At 38.5% G+C, this 20,887-nt stretch overlaps 1 protein-coding gene across 22 annotated transcripts in view, besides 1 other annotated feature; it reads left to right on the plus strand.

Annotated features, from left to right (window-relative positions):
- DOCK3 (dedicator of cytokinesis 3) overlaps nucleotides 1-20,887 on the plus strand; it is a 709,272-nt gene that overhangs the window by 286,312 nt on the left and 402,073 nt on the right. The window lies entirely within an intron of this gene.
- Nucleotides 10,334-10,393: a silencer, noted in NCBI's record as "silent region_14407". NCBI's record gives its function as "represses an Ori minimal core promoter by ATAC-STARR-seq in GM12878 lymphoblastoid cells {active_cell/tissue: GM12878}" and the evidence as "EXISTENCE:reporter gene assay evidence [ECO:0000049][PMID:35858748]".

The raw sequence follows: 20,887 nt of genomic DNA on the forward strand, positions 1-20,887 counted from the left end.
TTGGGAAACATAAGTTTTTTTACAATTATAGTTGGCAGATTTTTTCTGTCAGAGTGATGTTACACTGAGTAATATCTTAGATTGAGAGAAAAATGGTAAAATATCAAATGAGGATACATGCAAAAGAAAGAATGCAGTGAGAGGAATAGGAAGTTCTAGGGCTGGTGGTGCATTGCTAGTTTATAAACAGAATGGTTAGGGAAGTCCTTCATGATATGGTGACTTTTGAGTAGAGTCCTGAAGAAGATGAGGAGTTGAAACTTGGTGATATCTGAAGAAAGTGGTTTAGGCAGAGGAAGAAGAAATTCAAAGGCTCTGAGTGAGGAACATATTGGACTTATTCCAGGAACAAAGATTAGATCATTATATGTGTAGCTTTAGGGAAGTGACAAGGGAGAAGGTGGTAAATGAGATAAGAGGACTTTAATTAGACTTTTGAACCTTATTTCTCTAAAGGTTAAATGAAACAAAAGTTAACGAGTACTTATATAGGGACAATATGGTTCTTCCAAAGACAATGCAAGCATTACATGATATAATTTATCCCCTTACCTATCTTGGTTTACTCCTTGGTCTTACTAAATCTCTGATCTGTTTAGTATGGTATGTATGAAATGGCTTCATAATTTTAATAGAAAGGAATTATTAATTTTTAAATATTATCTGAGCCTTCTTATGGGGAAAAATTCATGCATAATCTTGTTTAGTTCGTAGTACACAACTACTAGAAGTTACGAAACCATCCATGTAACATGAACCACTTTTTTTTTTTAATATATATGCTTTAAATTCTGGGATACATGTGCAGAACGTGCAGGTTTGTTACATAGGTATACATGTGCCATGGTGGTTTGCTGCACCCATCAACCCATCATCTACATTAGGTATTTCTCCTAATGCTATCCCTCCCCTAGCCCCCAGACCCCACAACAGGCCCTGGTGTGTGATGTACCCCTCCCTGTGTCCATGTGTTCTCATTGTTCAACTCCCACTTATGAGATGAACCACCTTTTTGCAACAAAAGATGTAAAGGTATATTTTAGGAAAGTCATGATAGCTTACAATGCATATTGAAGTGAAAGTTCCTCTTCTGATACCTATCTAAAGGGCTGTTATTTAGTTCCCTGATTTTGGTATTATAGTAATGCTTTTGACATTTTACATCTAGGCAGATCTTGTGAGGTACTGTATCATTACTTTGTGTGGACTTCTGTTTCTCACTTCCCAGTTTTCATGAGGACTAGATACCTGCCATGGAACACAGTTATATTCCTAGGTAGATGTAGAGAGCTAGTTAACTCTAAGAGCAACAATGGTTTACACCACTTTTCTTTCTTAGAGCTCAAATAAATCCGTGTATACTTTCAGTATTTGAATATTTTTATAAAAATTCAGAATACTGTTACTAGGTAAGGAGATAATTAGATCCAGTGAGACCTGTAGCTTAGAGAACATTACTAATGGCTAGGACTCTTTTTTATTTTTTCTTCTTGTTCTTTCTTATACATGCTTTCATCTCTTCTAGGTTCTACCTAATTCTTTTCAGTTATGGGTCTCTGCAACCATATGCAGCGTATGTAAATATTCCTCCCTTTATGCAATGCTTTAGAAATTAACCTCGATTTTAAATGCAATAATTAAACTTACTTTGAAAAGAAATTATTTGGGCCAGGCGCAGTGGCTCATGCCTGTAATCCCATCACTTTGGGAGGCCGAGGCGGGTAGATCACCTGAGGTCAGGAGTTTGAGACCAGCCTGGCCAAGATGGCGAAACCCTGTCTCTACTAAATATAAAAATTAGCCGGGTGTGGTGGCACACACCTGTAATCCCAGCTACATGGGAGGCTGAGGCATGAAAATTGCTTGAACCCAGGAGGTGGAAGTTGCAGTGAGCCAAGATTGCACCATTGTACTCCAGCCTGGGTGACAGTGAGACTGTCTCAAAAACAAAAACAAAAAAATAAATTGTTTGCTGAATCTTCTTGCAAAACATTATAATGTATATCCAGACCATCTTACCTGTAAGTCTTGTTTCTTTTGTCAGTGCCTGAAAAGTTTTGCATAAAATTTGTACTTCTGTTTCTGTCCTGTCATTCTGATTACTTCTAGTAAATATGACAGGGTGGTAGTGTTCTTTATTTCTCTTCTTGTGGTAGCCATTATATTTATATTGTTTCATGAACTTAGATGTGAAACAAAATATTCAAATTGAATCCAGATATGTAAACAGAATAACACATCATGACCAAATATTGTTTATCTGAGAATATAAACTTGATTTAATATTTAAAAATCAATATAGACTTCTGCTTCTGCCCACGATAAAGTCAATGGGACTGTATATACCCAGACAGTATATATACCTTCCCACCTGAACAACAGCAACATCACAGATAAAATATACTAAATAATGGTTTTAAAGAAACTGGACATCAAGCACAAAGGATAGTGATCCTTTAGACACAGGAAATAAATAAGGTGAGCTGTAAGATTGCTTCAGCTTACTGCATGGAGCATCTCCTCTGCATTGCATTGCAGGGAGATGGAATTCAAGGGAAATCCAGTGGGTTCACTGAACTGAGGAGACAGAACTGAGATTCTAGGGAGAACAAGGCAGTTAGAGTTGGCCGGACACAGTACTGAAGAGGAGAGAGCTTCAAGAGACCTAGAGATCTGTAGAAGGTATCCTCTGTGTATTCAGCAGTGTGCTCATCAGGCATCATGTGAGGAAACTACTCAGGGCTAGGGAAACACTCATTAGAATGGATTTAATAGTACAGTGCCTGCATTTACACTGTGCTGCAGATAGTGTCTGTTCCTACAGTGCACACTGAAAAAGCTCATTATTCACAGAGCGTCAGGTAGAATACTCAGGAAGGACTTGCTTCAATAGTGGGGAATTATCATCAGTAGATTGAGCACTGTAAATCATAAAACAACTGATGAAAGCAAGACCAAAAGGATCAAACTATTTCCAAATGGTTTAACTGCATACCAGAATAAAACTCAGGGATAATTATAGAAATTTAGAAACACTCAGCACTTCAATATGATTAAAAAGAATAATAATCAATATTTGAAACCAACCCTGAACTGACACAGATATTGGAATTACCAAACAATGATGTTAAAGTGGTTTTTACAACAGTATTCAATATGTCCAAAAAATGAAATAGAAGCTGGATGGTATTTAAAAAACACCCAAGTTTGAATCTCTAGAGGGAAAAATTACGTCTGGGATAAAATATACACTGAATGAGATCAATGGCAGATCGAAGAAAGGAGGAGAAAAGATTAGTGAACTTAAAGACTTAGCAATAGAAATTCTCAAAAATGAAGCCCAAAAGTGATAAAATAAACCAAAATAATGAAAAGAGCATGAACTAGCTGTGCGACAACTTCAGGCAGCCTAATATACATGTAATTTTGAGTCTCCAAAAAGGGACAGGAGGTAGATGAAATAGTTAAATAAATAATGACTAAAAAAATTAGATTTGATGAAAACTGCAATCCTACAGGTGAAAGATGTTTAATGAATCTCAAGTAGAAGAAACAAAAGAATATACATCATAATAAAAAATGAACACACTATAATCAGTTTACTCAAAAGCAGTGGTAAAGAGAATAAAAAATAAGGATAACAAGAGCTCTCATCAGAAACAATGTAAATGAGAGGACAGAAGAACAAAATCTGAAAGAAGAACTTAGATTTCTATACCCACTGAATTATCTTTAGAAAATGAAAGCAAAATAAAGATGTTTTAGATATAAACTAAGCTGAAAGAATGTATTACTAGAAGACCTGAACCACCAGAAATGTTAAAGGAATTTCTTCAGGCAGAAGGAATCAATAAAAGTAATAGAGTTCACATCATATAAAGTATGTTCTTTGACTACAGTGGAATTAAATTAGAAATCAATATTTAAAACATCTGGAAAATCTTAAAATGTTTATAATGTACATACATCTGAATAATTCATGAGTCAAAAAAGAAATGACGATGAATTTGACTAGAATAAAAATGAAGGGTATTAGAATTTGTAGGATGCAGCTAAAGCAGTAGAGAAGAATTTATAGTTTAAATGTCTATATTAGAAAAGAATGATCTCAGTGACCTCAGCATTCACCTTAGGAAAACGGAAAAAGAGCAAATTAATTCCTAAGTAAATAGAAAAGGAGAAATAATAAAGATCTGAGCAGAAATACATGAAATAGAAAAACTGAATAGAGGCTGGGAGAGAGAGAATGAGGGAAGTATTGTGAAAAACTTTATGCCAATAAATTTGACGAATTAGATGAAATGGACAAATTCCATGAAAGACGTAAACTACTAAGGCTTACTGAAGAAATAGGTGATCTATTTCTGTATATAATAACTGTAATATATCTATCAAATAAAACTAATTTTTAGTTTAACGCTTTCTTACAAGGAAAACTTCAGTCTCAAATGGCTTCCCTTTAGAATTTTACATGTTTATGGACGAGATTGTATCAGATCTGTGCAGGTTCTTCCTGAAATTGAAGACAAAATCAAACATTTTTTAATTAAACATTTTTTAGCTTAAAAATATTTAATTGACAAAGATTGTATATATTAAAGGTGTACAATGGATGATTGGGTATATTATATACATGTTACATAATGATTATCACATTTGTCAGCACACATGTTGTGCATTAGATCCCTAGAACTTGTTGATCTTAGAACTGAAAGTTTGTATCCTTTGATCAACATTTCCCCACCCTGCAGTCCTTGACAACCACCATTCTACTCTCTGTTTCTAAGAGTTCTTTTTTTTTTTTTGATTCCACATATAAGTGAGATAATACAGATTTGTCTTTATGTGTTTGGCTTATTTCACTTTACATAATATCCTCCAGGACATTTCATTCATGTTGCTGTAAATGGCTAGATCTTCTTCGTTGTGATTGAATAAAATGTTATTGTATATATTCCACATATTTTCTTTACCCATGCATCTACTGACAGACACTTAGGTTGTTTCCACCCCTTGGCTATTGTGGATGAATGAGGGGGTGCAGATATCTCTTTGAGATATTGATGTGATTCCTTTGGGTATATACCCAGAAGTGGGATTGCTAGATTGTATGATAGTTCTGTTTTAATTTTTTTGAGGAACCACTATACTGTTTTTCATAATGGCTATGTTAATTTACATTCCCATCTTTAGTGTACAAGGATTCTCTTTTCTCTACAACTTCATCAATACTGGTTATCTCTTGTTTTTTTTTTTTTTCTTCCTTTTTTTTTTTTTTTGAAAATAGCCATTCTAACACTTGTGAGGTGATATCTCATTTTACTTTTGATTTGCATTTATTTGATGATTAGTGATACTGAACACCTTTTCATACACCTGTTGCCATATGTATATCTTTGGGAAAATATCTATAGACAGATGTGGTAAAAGGCACCAGCTACTTGGAGTTTGAGGCAGGAGAATTGCTTGCATCCAGGATTTCTGGGCTGTAGTGCATTATGCTGATTGGGTGTCTGCACTAACATGGATGTTAGTATGGTAAACTCCTGGGAGTAGGGGATGACCAACTTGCCTGAAGGAAAGGGTACAAGCCCAGGTTGGAAACAACACAACAAAAGTCTTGTGATGATTAGAATCAAACATTTATAATGCCATTTTTTTTTCTGTAACCTTGTAGGGGAATGAGGCAGAATTTCACCTCTTTCCTTTAAAAAAATCTTTTTATTGATACATAGTAATTATAATCAAATTAGTGTATTTAGAATATTTGTTACCTCAAACACTTATAATTTCTTTGTGTTGGGAATTTTTCATATCTTCTAGCTATTTTGAAATATATAATATATTGTTAACTACAGTCACCCTACTGGGCTGTTGAACACTAGAACTTATTCATTTAACTGTATGTTTGTACCCATTGACAAACCTCTTCATTCCTGCCCACATTTTGTAGCCTCTGGTAAACATTCTACTCTGTGCCTCCATGAGATCCACTTTTTTAGCTCCCACGTATGAGTGACAACATGTGATATTTGTCATTCTGTGCCTGGTGTATTTCACTTAACATAATGACCACTAGATCCAACCATGTTGCACATGGCAGGACTTCCTTTTTTATGGCTGAATAGTATGCCATTGTGTATCTACACCACATTTTCTTTATCCATTCATCCATTGACGGATTGATTTTATATCCTGGCCATTGTGAATAGTGCCCTGATAAATGGGAGTGCCAGTATCTTTTAGATTGATTTCTTTTCCTTTGGATAAATACCCATATTAGTCCCTTTTCACACTGCTGATAAAGACATACCTGAGACTGGGTAATTTATAAAGGAAAGAGTTTTAATTGACTCACAGTTTCGCATGGTTAGGGAGGCCTCAGGAAACTTACAATCATGGTGTCAGGGGAAGCAAATACGTCCTTCTTCACATAATGGCAGGAAGGAGAAGAATGAGTGCCCTGTGAAGGAGGGAGTCCCTTATAAAACCGTCAGATCTCTTGAGAACTAACTTACTATCACGAGAAAAGGATGGGGGAACCACCCCCATGATTCAGTTATCTCCTGCTGGTCCCTCCCATGACATGTGGGGATTATGGGAACTACAATTCAGGATGAGATTTGGGTGAGAACACAGCCAAACCATATCAAATACCCAGTAGTGTGATTGCTGGGCCATATGGTAGTTCTGTTTTCAGTTGTTTTGAGAATTCTCTTACTGTTTTCCATAATGGCTGTACTAATTTACGTTCCCACTACAGTGTGTAAGAGTTGCCTTTTCTCCACATTCTCACCAGAATTTTTTTATATTAACCATTCTAACTGAGGAGAGATGATATTTCATTATAGTTTTGATTTGCATTTCCCTGGTGATTAGTGATGTTGAGCATGTCTTCATTTACCTCCTGGCCATTTGTATGTCTTCCTTTTTACTTTCATTTTTCTTTTGAGACAAGGTCTCTGCCACCCAGGCTGGAGTGCAGTGGCACAGTAATAGCTCACTGCAGCCTCAAACTCCTGAGCTCAAGAAATCCTCCCAACTCAGTCTCTGGAGTAGCTGAGGCTACAGGCACACATCACCATGCCTACCTCTGTTTTTAAAAGAAATAGATTTCAGGGGTACAAGTGAAGTTGTTTTCCATGGATGTAGTGTGTAAGGTGAAGTCTGAGCTTTTAGTGTAACTGTCACCTGAGTAGTGTACATTGTACTCATAAGGCTTCATTTATTTGTATAGTTTATTGTAGAATCCCTCTTGGAATTATTTCTACCTTTATCCTGCTTTTGTCCGAGAAGATACTTTCTATGATTTCAATTTTTTTTTTTTTTTGAGACGGAGTCTCTCTCTGTTGCCAGGCTGGAGTGCAGTGGCACTATCTTGGCTCACTGCAACCTCCACCTCCTAGGTTCAAGTGATTCTCCTGCCTCAGCCTCCCGAGTAGTTGGGACAACAGGTGTGCACCACCACGCCCAGCTAATTTTTGTATTTTTAGTAGAGACGGGGTTTCACCATGTTGGCCAGGATGGTCTTGATCTTTTGACCTCAAGTGATCCACGTGCCTCGGCCTCCCAAAGTCCTGGGATTACAGGCGTGAGCCACTGTGCCCAGCCATGATTTCAATTTTTAAAAAATTTATTGCGACTAATTTTGTGTCCTGATATATAGCCCATCTTGGAAAATGTTCCATATGCTGATGAGAAGAATGCACATTTTGTGGTTATTGGGTAGAGTGTTCTATGCATGTCTGTTAGGTCCATTTTGGCCTGGAGTCCAATTTAAGTCCAGGATTTCTTTGTTGATTTCAGTCTCAATTATCTGTCTAGTGTTGTCAGTGGGGTGGTGAAGTTCCCCATTGTTATTCTATTGCTGTCTGTTTTCTTAGGTCAAGTAGTATTTGTTTAATAAATCAAGGTGCTCTGGTTTTGGGGCATGTATATTTAGGATTGTTATAACTTCTTGTTGAATTGTTCTCTTTATCCTTATATAATGACCTCCTTTATCTTTTTCTATTGTTGTTGATTTGAAGTCTTTTTTATCTAATATAAATATAGCCACTTCTGCTTACTTTTGGTTTCTGTTGGCATGGTATATCCCTTTCCACCCCTTTACATTGAGTCTATAAATGTCTTTACAAGTTAGATGGGTTTCTTGTAAGCAGTATATGGTTGGATCCTGTTTTTAAAATTTATTCCACCAATATGTATCATTTAAATGGTGCATTTAATCCATTTATATTCAAAGTTAATATTGATACATGAGGTTTTGTTCCTGTCATAATGTTAACTGTTGCCTAGTTGCTTTGTAGTCTCAATTTTGTAATTGTTTTATAAGGCCTCTGAGTTTTATACTTTTTGTGTTTTTATGATGGCAAGTATCAACCTTTTGTTTTCATGTTTAGAACTCTGTTGAACACTTGTTTTAGTACTGATCTAGTGGTGATTAATTCCCTTAGTGTTTGCTTGTCTAGAAAAGACTTTGTCATTCATGATGAAACTTAGTTTAGCAGGATAAAAAATTCATGATTGACACTTTTTTATTTAAGAACTATGAAGCCGGGCACAGTGGCTTACACCTGTAATCCCAGCACTTTGGGAGGCCGAGGTGGGCGGATCACGAGGTCAGGAGATCAAGACCATCTGGCTAACACGGTGAAACACCATGTCTACTAAAAATACAAAAAAACTTAGCTGGGCATGGTGGCGGGCGCCTGTAGTCCCAGCTACTCTGGAGGCTGAGGCAGGAGAATGGTGTAAACCCGGGAGGCGGAGCTTCCAGTGAGCCGAGATAGCGCCACTGCACTCCAGCCTGAGCAACAGAGCAAGACTCCATCTTAAAAAAGAAAAGAAAAGAAAAGAAAAGAAAAAAACTATGAAAATAGGACCCAGTCTCTTCTGGCTTATAAAGTTTCTGCCGAGAAGTCTGCTGTCAGTCTGATGTGACTCATTTATAGGTGATTATATGCTTTTATTTTGCTGATTTTAGGATTTTTTCCTTTACGTTCACTTTAGATAGTTGGATGACTATGTCTTGCTGAGGTCTGTCTTGCAGTATATCTTTATGGAGTTCTCTGAGCTTCTCATATCTGGATATCTAAATCTCTAGCAAGACTATGGAAATTTTCCTCAATTATTTCCTCAAATAGGTATACCAAAACTTTTTCTTTTTCTTCTCCATTTGGAATATTTATAACACATAGGTTTGGATATATTACATAATCCTTTACTTCTTGAAGGCTTTTCACTTTTTAAATCTTTTTTCTTTATTTTTGTCTGTTTGGGTTAATTAGAAAGACCTGTCTTCAAGCTCTGAGATTCTTTCCTCTGCTTGTTCTAGTCTATTGTCTTCAGTGAACATTTTATTTCCAGAAGTTCTATTTGGTTTTTCTAAAAAGTGTGTATCTCTTCAGTAAATTTTTCATTTATGTCCTAAATATTTTTTTCTGATTTCTTTGTGTTGGTTTTCAACTTTTTCTTAGATCTCATTGAGCCTTTTTTTTTTTTAATTTAAAACAGGGTATCACTCTCTTGCCCAGACTGCAGTGCAGTGGTGCAAAAATAGCTCACTGCAGCCATGAACTCCTGGGGTCAAGTGATCCTTCAGCCTCCCAAGTTTCTGGGACTACAGGCACATACTACCACACTCATCTAATTTTTATATATATATATATATATATATATATATATATATATATATATATATATATATATAATGTGTGTGTGTGTGTGTGTATATATATATATTTTTTTTATTTTAATTTTTAATTTTTTTTTTTTGAGATAGGGGACTCACTATGTTTCCCATGCTGGTCTTGAACTCCTGGCCTCAAGTGATCCTCTGGCTTTGTCCTCCCAAAGTGATGGGATTACAGCTGTGTGTCATCATGCTCAGCCCCACTGAGATTATTTAAAATCAGTTTTGAAATCTTTATCTGGTATTTCAAAGATTTCATTTTGGTTAGTATGATCTATTGCTGAGGAATTAGTGTGATCCTTTGGGGGTGTTGTAATGCTGTTTTTTTATATTTTCAGAATTGTTTCTCTGTTTCCTTCTTTTCTAAATAAACTATTTTTCTTATTTTTGAATTTACTTATGTTGGATGGTATTAGTTTTTCCCCTTGAAGATGTGACTATAATGTATGTTGTATAGGGTCATTAGGTTCTGGATGCTTTTAGTGGTAAAGACTATATGAACTCCTTGTAATAGACAACCTTTGTGGGGTGGTTTTCTTAAATGCTGGTTGTAGTAACAATGCACTAGATGTATGAACAGTCTCACTCCCTCTTGCGGGACCAGGTTGGCGAGGTCTCAGGAAACTAACCTTGTTTCCTGGTGCTGTGCACTTGTGTCAGCAGATTTTATATTGGGTTTTGCAGTTCAACCTGTAGGCCAGTAGGTGGCGCTTACAGGTAAGGGCTGGCTGAGGCAGAAGCAGATGTGTATATGCTAGACAGATAAAGGACTTTATTTACCAGAAGCAGCTCTCTGTTGCCTCAGGAACTGGGCTGGTCTATAGAATACACAGTGGCCTTAGATCCCTGCTCAGTAACTGAGGTGGGGAACAAAGCCAGGCAGATCTGAACCCCCATGCTTACTCTCAGATACCCCAGTGCCAGGCACAAGCACCAGCACTGATTAGACTGGCAAGGGGAGCTCCTGGTGAAATCTGCTGAGGTCCCCACAGGAGGTGGGGTTGCTGCCCCAGCTCCATGACCTATACAGGCAGGAATATGATCCACTTCCCTGTCATGCTCTTGTCCAGTGCTCGGAACACTCAGATTGGACAGACAATGCTTTCTATCTCCAGGCTGCAGTGTAGCCAAGAGCTGTGAAGATATCTATCTTGTGGCTCACAGTCAAAATGTCTTCTTTGTGGAACTTCCTCCCTCATCCCAAAGCACACAGCTCTGTGGTTGTCCTGCTCTTCACTGCAGGTATGCTGCTACTGGGAGGGGCCCTGCATTTTGTGCAAGGCTGGGCCTGATGGGCACACCACCAGTGGGGATGCTGCTGCCCCCTAATCGCCCTAGAATAGGCATCCTCCAGTGTGCCTTTGCCAGCCTCCTGCAGGAGTAGCCATGGCTTTGTGTGCAGTGGTGGGTAATGGTGGGAGAGAAGTCTCCCTCTCTGTATCTGCGCCTGAGCACTGAGGCTGCCTGGCTCCTGGGATGGAACCACACTCTTCCCTTTTAGAACTAAGCACAACATCTGCATTTCCACTGGAAGTGGTGCAGTCACTTCTACCCCACAGATGGGCAGCTCTAAGGCAAGGGAAAGCATGCACTGTGGTCTCTTTTGTCTCAAGGGGTGCCCCTTTGGCGGGTTGCACTCTTGCCTTAGGAACAACATTCCCTGAGGACTGGGACACTGGGAACCCTGAAGCTCTCCTCGGTTCAGCCAGCCCTGTGTGCCTGCTGCAATTCATGTGGGTGCGGAGAAATGTCTGCTAGGACTCCAGTGATGTGGAAACACAAGCACTGAGGTTTCCTGGTGGATTTATTTCTAGTTTCTCTATGCTGTTATATTGGTTATGTGTCTGTTTTTGTACCAGTACCATGCTGTTTTGGTTACTATAGCTTTGTAGTGTATTTTGAAATCAGGTAATGTGATGCCTATAGCTTTGTTCTCTTTGCTCAGGGTTGCTTTGGCTATTTTTTTTTTTTTAATTCCATACAAGTTTTAGCATGGTTTTCCTATTTCTGTGAATAATGTCATTGGTATTTTGATAGGGATTTCACTGAATCTGTAGGTTTTGGGGGAAGTATGGTCATTTTAACAATATTCTTACAATCCGTGGCATTCAGTGTGTTTCTTTTTTTTTTTTTTTTTTTTTTTTGCAGTTCCAACCTTTTATTTTTGCAGACTTAAATTTCTTTTTTTTTTTTGTAGTTTTCTTTTTTTTTTTCTTTTATTATTATACTTTAAGTTTTAGGGTATGTGTGCACATTGTGCAGGTTAGTTGCATATGTATACATGTGCCACGCTGGTGCGCTGCACCCACTAACTCGTCATCTAGCCTTAGGTATATCTCCCAGTGCTATCCCTCCCCCCTCCCCCCACCCCAAAACAGTCCCCAGAGTGTGATGTTCCCCTTCCTGTGTCCATGTGATCTCATTGTTCAATTCCCACCTATGAGTGAGAATATGCGGTGTTTGGTTTTTTGTTCTTGCGATAGTTTACTGAGAATGATGATTTCCAGTTTCATCCATGTCCCTACAAAGGACATGAACTCATCATTTTTTATGGCTGCATAGTATTCCATGGTGTATATGTGCCACATTTTCTTAATCCAGTCTATCATTGTTGGACATTTGGGTTGGTTCCAAGTCTTTGCTATTGTGAATAGTGCCGCAATAAACATACGTGTCCATGTGTCTTTATAGCAGCATGATTTATAGTCCTTTGGGTATATACCCAGTAATGGGATGGCTGGGTCAAATGGTATTTCTAGTTCTAGATCCCTGAGGAATCGCCACACTGACTTCCACAATGGTTGAACTAGTTTACAGTCCCACCAACAGTGTAAAAGTGTTCCTATTTCTCCACATCCTCTCCAGCACCTGTTGTTTCCTGACTTTTTAATGATCGCCATTCTAACTGGTGTGAGATGGTATCTCATTGTGGTTTTGATTTGCATTTCTCTGATGGCCAGTGATGATGAGCATTTTTTCATGTGTTTTTTGGCTGCATAAATGTCTTCTTTTGAGAAGTGTCTGTTCATGTCCTTTGCCCACTTTTTGATGGGGTTGTTTGTTTTTTTCTTGTAAATTTGTTTGAGTTCATTGTAGATTGTGGATATTAGCCCTTTGTCAGATGAGTAGGTTGCAAAAATTTTCTCCCATTTTGTAGGTTGCCTGTTCACTCTGATGGTAGTTTCTTTTGCTGTACAGAAGCTCTTTAGTTTAATTAGATCCCATTTGTCAATTTTGTCTTTTGTTGCCATTGCTTTTAGTGTTTTAGACATGAAGTCCTTGCCCATGCCTATGTCCTGAATGGTATTGCCTAGGTTTTCTTCTAGGGTTTTTATGGTTTTAGGTCTAACGTTTAAGTCTTTAATCCATCTTGAATTGATTTTTGTATAAGGTGTAAGGAAGGGATCCAGTTTCAGCTTTCTGCATATGGCTAGCCAGTTTTCCCAGCACCATTTATTAAATAGGGAATCCTTTCCCCATTGCTTGTTTTTCTCTGGTTTGTCAAAGATCAGATAGTTGTAGATATGCAGCGTTATTTCTGAGGGCTCTGTTCTGTTCCATTGATCTATATCTCTGTTTTGGTACCAGTAGCATGCTGTTTTGGTTACTGTAGCCTTGTAGTATAGTTTGAAGTCAGGTAGTGTGATGTCTCCAGCTTTGTTCTTTTGGCTTAGGATTGACTTGGCGATGCGGGCTCTTTTTTGGTTCCATATGAACTTTAAAGTAGTTTTTTCCAATTCTGTGAAGAAAGGCATCGGTAGCTTGATGGGGATGGCATTGAATCTATAAATTACCTTGGGCAGTATGGCCATTTTCACGATATTGATTCTTCCTACCCATGAGCATGGAATGTTCTTCCATTTGTTTGTATCATCTTTTATTTCATTGAGCAGTGGTTTGTAGTTCTCCTTGAAGAGGTCCTTCACATCCCTTGTAAGTTGTATTCCTAGGTATTTTATTCTCTTTGAAGCAATTGTGAATGGGAGTTCAGTCATGATTTGGCTCTCTGTTTGTCTGTTGTTGGTGTATAAGAATGCTTGTGATTTTTGTACATTGATTTTGTATCCTGAGACTTTGCTGAAGTTGCTTATCAGCTTAAGGAGATTTTGGGCTGAGACAGTGGGATTTTCTAGATATACAATCATGTCATCTGCAAACAGGGACAATTTGACTTCCTCTTTTCCTAATTGAATACCCTTTATTTCCTTCTCCTGCCTAATTGCCCTGGCCAGAACTTCCAACACTATGTTGAATAGGAGTGGTGAGAGAGGGCATCCCTGTCTTGTGCCAGTTTTCAAAGGGAATGCTTCCAGTTTTTGCCCATTCAGTATGATATTGGCTGTGGGTTTGTCATAAATAGCTCTTATTATTTTGAAATATGTCCCATCAATACCTAATTTATTGAGAGTTTTTAGCATGAAGGGTTGTTGAATTTTGTCAAAGGCCTTTTCCGCATCTATTGAGATAATCATGTGGTTTTTGTCTTTGGCTCTGTTTATATGCTGGATTACATTTATTGATTTGGGTATATTGAACCAGCCTTGCATCCCAGGGATGAAGCCCACTTGATCATGGTGGATAAGCTTTTTGATGTGCTGCTGGATTCGTTTTGCCAGTATTTTATTGAGGATTTTTGCATCAATGTTCATCAAGGATATTGGCCTAAAATTCTCTTTTTTTGGTTGTGTCTCTGCCAGGCTTTAGTATCAGAATGATGCTGGCCTCATGAAATGAGTTAGGGAGGATTCCCTCTTTTCCTATAGATTGGAATAGTTTCAGAAGGAATGGTACCAGTTCCTCCTTGTACTTCTGGTAGAATTCCGCTGTGAATCCATCTGGTCCTGGACTCTTTTTGGTTGGTAAGCTATTGATTATTGCCACAATTTCAGATCCTGTTATTGGTCTATTCAGAGATTCAACTTCTTCCTGGTTTAGTCTTGGGAGAGTGTATGTGTCGAGGAATTTATCCATTTCTTCTAGATTTTCTAGTTTATTTGCGTAGAGGTGTTTGTAGTATTCTCTGATGGTAGTTTGTATTTCTGTGGGATCGGTGGTGATATCCCCTTTATCATTTTTTATTGCGTCTATTTGATTCTTCTCTCTTTTTTTCTTTATTAGTCTTGCTAGTGGTCTATCTTTTTTGTTGATCCTTTCAAAAAACCAGCTCCTGGATTCATTAATTTTTTGAAGGGTTTTTTGTGTCTCTATTTCCTTCAGTTCTGCTCTGATTTTAGTTATTTCTTGCCTTCTGCTAGCTTTTGAATGTGTTTGCTCTTGCTTTTCTAGTTCTTTTAATTGTGATGTTAGGGTGTCAATTTTGGATCTTTCCTGCTTTCTCTTGTGGGCATTTAGTGCTATAAATTTCCCACTACACACTGCTTTCAATGTGTCCCAGAGATTCTGGTATGTTGTGTCTTTGTTCTCGTTGGTTTCAAAGGACATCTTTATTTCTGCCTTCATTTCGTTATGTACCCAGTAGTCATTCAGGAGCAGGTTGTTCAGTTTCCATGTAGTTGAGCGGTTTTGAGTGAGATTCTTAATCCTGAGTTCTAGTTTGATTGCACTGTGGTCTGAGAGAAAGTTTGTTATAATTTCTGTTCTTTTACATTTGCTGAGGAGAGCTTTACTTCCAAGTATTTGGTCAATTTTGGAATAGGTGTGGTGTGGTGCTGAAAAAAATGTATATTCTGTTGATTTGGGGTGGAGAGTTCTCTAGATGTCTATTAGGTCTGCTTGGTGCAGAGCTGAGTTCAATTGCTGGGTATCCTTGTTGACTTTCTGTCTTGTTGATCTGTCTAATGTTGACAGTGGGGTGTTAAAGTCTCCCATTATTAATGTGTGGGAGTCTAAGTCTCTTTGTAGGTCACTCAGGACTTGCTTTATGAATCTGGGTGCTCCTGTATTGGATGCATATATATTTAGGATAGTTAGCTCTTCTTGTTGAATTGATCCCTTTACCATTATGTAATGGCCTTCTTTGTCTCTTTTGATCTTTATTGGTTTAAAGTCTGTTTTATCAGAGACTAGGATTGCAACCCCTGCCTTTTTTTGTTTTCCATTTGCTTGGTAGATCTTCCTCCATCCTTTTATTTTGAGCCTATGTGTGTCTCTGCATGTGAGATGGGTTTCCTGAATACAGCACACTGATGGGTCTTGACTCTTTATCCAATTTGCCAGTCTGTGTCTTTTAATTGGAGCATTTAGTCCATTTACATTTAAAGTTAATATTGTTATGTGTGAATTTGATCCTGTAATGATGATGTTAGCTGGTTATTTTGCTCATTAGTTGATGCAGTTTCTTCCTAGTCTCGATGGTCTTTACATTTTGGCATGATTTTGCAGCGGCTGGTACCGGTTGTTCCTTTCCATGTTTAGCACTTCCTTCAGGAGCTCTTGTAAGGCAGGCCTGGTGGTGACAAAATCTCTCAGCATTTGCTTGTCTGTAAAGTATTGTATTTCTCCTTCACTTATGAAGCTTAGTTTGGCTGGATATGAAATTCTGGGTTGAAAATTCTTTTCTTTAAGAATGTTGAATATTGGCCCCCACTGTCTTCTGGCTTGTAGGGTTTCTGCCAAGAGATCCCCTGTTAGTCTGATGGGCTTCCCTTTGAGGGTAACCCGACCTTTCTCTTTGGCTACCCTTAACATTTTTTCCTTCATTTCAACTTTGGTGAATCTGACAACTATGTGTCTTGGAGTTGCTCTTCTCGAGGAGTATCTTTGTGGTGGTCTCTGTATTTCCTGAATCTGAACGTTGGCCTGCCTTGCTAGATTGGGGAAGTTCTCCTGGAAAATATCCTGCAGAGTGTTTTCCAACTTGGTTCCATTCTCCCCGTCACTTTCAGGTACACCAATCAGACGTAGATTTGGTCTTTTCACATAGTCCCATATTTCTTGGAGGCTTTGCTCATTTCTTTTTATTCTTTTTTCTCTAAACTTCCCTTCTCGCTTCATTTCATTCATTTCATCTTCCATCGCTGATACCCTTTCTTCCAGTTGATCGCATCGGCTCCTGAGGCTTCTGCATTCTTCCCGTTGTTCTCGAGCCTTGGTTTTCAGCTCCATCAGCTCCTTTAAGCACTTCTCTGTATTGGTTATTCTAGTTATACCTTCTTCTAAATTTTTTTCAAAGTTTTCAACTTCTTTGCCTTTGGTTTGAGTGTCCTCCCGTAGCTCAGAGTAATTTGATCGTCTGAAGCCTTCTTCTCTCAGCTCGTCAAAGTCATTCTCCATCCAACTTTGTTCCATTGCTGGTGAGGAACTGCGTTCCTTTGGAGGAGGAGAGGTGCTCTGCTTTTTAGAGTTTCCAGTTTTTCTGTTCTGTTTTTTCCCCATCTTTGTGGTTTTATCTACTTTTGGTCTTTGATGATGGTGATGTACAGATGGGTTTTTGGTGTGGATGTCCTTTCTGTTTGTTAGTTTTCCTTCTAACAGGCAGGACCCTCAGCTGCAGGTCTGTTGGAGTACCCTGCCGTGTGAGGTGTCAGTGTGCCCCTGCTGGGGGGGTGCCTCCCAGTTAGGCTGCTCGGGGGTCAGGTGTCAGGGACCCTCTTGAGGAGGCAGTCTGCCCGTTCTCAGATCTCCAGCTGCGTACTGGGAGAACCACTGCTCTCTTCAAAGCTGTCAGACAGGGACATTTAAGTCTGCAGAGGTTACTGCTGTCTTTTTGTTTGTCTGTGCCCTGCCCCCAGAGGTGGAGCCTACAGAGGCAGGCAGGCCTCCTTGAGCTGTGGTGGGCTCCACCCAGTTGGAGCTTCTTGGCTGCTTTGTTTACCTAAGCAAGCCTGGGCAATGGCGGGCGCCCCTCCCCCAGCCTCGCTGCCGCCTTGCAGTTTGATCTGAAACTGCTGTGCTAGCAATCAGTGAGTCTCCGTGGGCGTAGGACCCTCCGAGCCACGTGCGGGATATAATCTTGTGGTGTGCCGTTTTTTAAGCCCGTCGGAAAAGCGCAGTATTCGGGTGGGAGTGACCCGATTTTCCAGGTGCTGTCCGTCACCCCTTTCTTTGACTAGGAAAGGGAACTCCCTGACCCCTTGCGCTTCCCGAGTGAGGCAATGCCTTACCCTGCTTCGGCTCGCGTACGGTGCGCACACCCACTGACCTGCGCCCACTGTCTGGCACTCCCTAGTGAGATGAACCCGGTACCTCAGATGGAAATGCAGAAATCACCCGTCTTCTGCGCCGCTCACGCTGGGAGCTGTAGACCGGAGCTGTTCCTATTCGGCCATCTTGGCTCCTCCCCCAGTGTGTTTCAATTTGTTTGTGTCTTCTTCAACTACTTTAGTCAGTGTTTTGTAGTTTCCTTGTAGAGGTCTTTTACTTCCTTAGTTAAATTTATTTCTAGGTTTTTAATTGTTTTGGTAGCTATTGTAAATGGGATTGTGATATAGTTCAGATATTTGTCCCCTCCAAAGCTCATGTTGAAATGTTATCCCAATATTGGAGATAGGGCTCAGTGGGAGGTGTTTGGGTCATGGGGGTGGATCTCTCATGAATGTTTTGCTGCCCTCCACATTATAAGAGAGTTCTTGCTCTGTTAGTTTATATGAGCTCTGGGTGTTAAAGAGTCTGGGACTTCCTCCCCTCCTGCTCTCTTGCGCCATCTCTGGCTGTGTCACACTTGAACTCCCCTTTCCCATTTGCCATGATTGGAAGCTCCCTAAATCCCTCACCCGAAACAGATGCTGGTGCCATGCTTCTTGTGCAGCCTGCAGAACCACAAAACAAATAAGCCTCTTTTTAAAAAAAATAAATTACCCAGCCTCAGGTATACATTTATGGCAACAGACTGACACAGATTGCTTTCTCGATTTCTTCTTCAGCTAGTTTCTTTTTGATATATAGAAATGGTACTGATTTTTGTGTATTGATTTTGCATCCTACAACTTGACTGAATTCATTTATTAGTTCTAAGAGTGTTTTGGTGGTGTCTTTAGCTTTTTCTATATATGTAAGGTTATGTCATCTACAAAGAGAGACAACTTGATTTTCTGTTTCCCGACTTGTATGCCTTTTCTTTCTTTCTCTTGCCTGATTACTCTAGCTAGGCTTTCTAGTACTGTGTTGAACAAGAATGTTCAAAGTGGGCATCTGTGTCTTGTTCCAGTTCTTAGAGGAAAGGCTTTCAGCTTTTCCCCATTCCAGTATGATGTTAGCTGTGGATTTTTCATGTATTGACTTCATTATTTTGAGATATGTTCCTTCAATGCGTAATTTGTTGAGGGTTTTTGTGATGCAGGTTTGTTGAATTTTATTAAATGCTTTTTCTGCGTCTATTGAGATGATAATATGGCTTTTGTCCTTCATTCTGTTGCTGTGATGTATCACATTTATTGGCTTGCAGATGTTGAATCATGCTTACATTTCTGGGATAAATTCTATTTGACTATGGCTTATTATCTTTTTGATGTGTTGTTGCATACAGTTTGCTAGTATTTTGTTGAGGATTTTTGTGTCTGTGATCATCAGGGATATTGTCCTGTAGTTTTCTCTTTTTTGTGTGTGTTCTTGTCTGGTTTTGCTATTTGATGATGCTGGCCTCATAGAGTAAGTTGGGAAGAATTTTCCCTGCTTCAGTTTTTTGAAATAGTTTGAGAAGAACTGGTGTTAGTTTTTCTTTATAAGTTTGATAGAGTTCAACAATAAAGCCATGCATTCCTGTGCTTTTCCTTATTGGGATACTTTTTATAATTGATTCAGTCTTATTACTTGTTACTGGTTTATTCGGGTTTTCTTTGTCTTTCTGGTTCAATCTTGGTAGGTTGTATATGTCTAGGAATTTATCAGTTTTCTGTAGGTTTTCTAATTTGTTAGTATATAGTTCATAATTCTCTGTAATTATACTTTATATTGCTTTGGTATCAGCTATAATATCTCCTTTTTCATTTCTGATTTTATTTATTTGGGTCTTCTCTCTTTTTTTTGGTTAGTCTAGATAGTGGTTTGTTGATTTTGTTTATCTTTTTGAAAAAAACAGCTTTTTGTTTTGTTGATCCTTTGTATTACCTTTCATCTGTATTTTGTTTAGCCCTGCTCTCATTTTTATTATTTGTTTCCATCCACTAATTTTGGATTTGGTTTGTTCTTTTCTCTGTCCTTGAGGTGCATCATTAGGTTGTTTATTATAAGTTATTCCACATTTTTATGTAGTAGGCATTTATTGCTATAAACTTCCCTCTTAGCACAGCTTTTGCTGTATCCCATAGGTTTAGGTATAGTGTATTTTAATTTTCATTTGTTTCAAGAAAGTTTATTTTTCATTTCTTTATTGACCCAGTGGTCATTCAAGAGCATGTTTAATTTGCATGTATTTGTACAATTTAAAAAGTTTTTCTTGTTATTGATTTCTAGTTTTATTCCATTGTGACAGATCACAGTATATCCGATAGCTTACTTATATGATTTCAATTTTTAAAATTTTGTTGAAATTGTTTTGTGACTTACCAGATGGCCTAGCCTAGAGAATGTTATATGTACTGATGAAAAGAAAGTGTATCCTGCAGCTGTTGGAGAAAATGTTCTGTCTTATCTATTCCATCTAAAGTGTAGTTTAAATCCAATGTTTCTTTGTTGATTTTATGTCTCAATGATCCATCCAATGCTGAGAGTGGGCTGTTGTAGTCCTTAACTATGTTGTATTGGAGTCTGCTGTTTCTTTAGATCTAATAATATTTGCTTTATACATCTGAGTGATCCAGTATTAGGTGCACATATATTTACAATAATTATATCCTCCTGCTGAACTGACCCCCTTTTCATTGTGTAATGACTTTCTTTATCTCTTTTTAAAAATAGTTTTTGACTTAAAGTTTGTTTGATATAATGTAAGTATAGCTATTCCTGCTTGCTTTTGATTTCCATTTGCATGAAGTATCTTTTTTCATCCCGTTACTTTCAATCTATGTTTTGTTTTTTATTTATTTTATTTATTTTATTTTTGAGATGGAGTCTCTCTCTGTCGCCCAGGCTGGAGTGCATTGGCACGATCTTGGCTCACTGCAACCTCTGCCTTCTGGATTCAAGCAGCTCTCCTGTCTCAGCTTCCCAGTAGCTGGGACTACAGGAGCATGCCACCATGCCCAGTTAATTTTTGTATTTTTAGTAGAGATGAGGTTTCACTGTGTTGGCCAGGCTGATCTTGAACTCTTGACCTCAGGTGATCCACCTGCCTCTGCCTCCCAAAGTGCTGGGATTACA

The sequence above is a fragment of the Homo sapiens genome, chromosome 3 (assembly GCF_000001405.40).
Source record: "Homo sapiens chromosome 3, GRCh38.p14 Primary Assembly".
Taxonomy (NCBI): domain Eukaryota; kingdom Metazoa; phylum Chordata; class Mammalia; order Primates; family Hominidae; genus Homo; species Homo sapiens.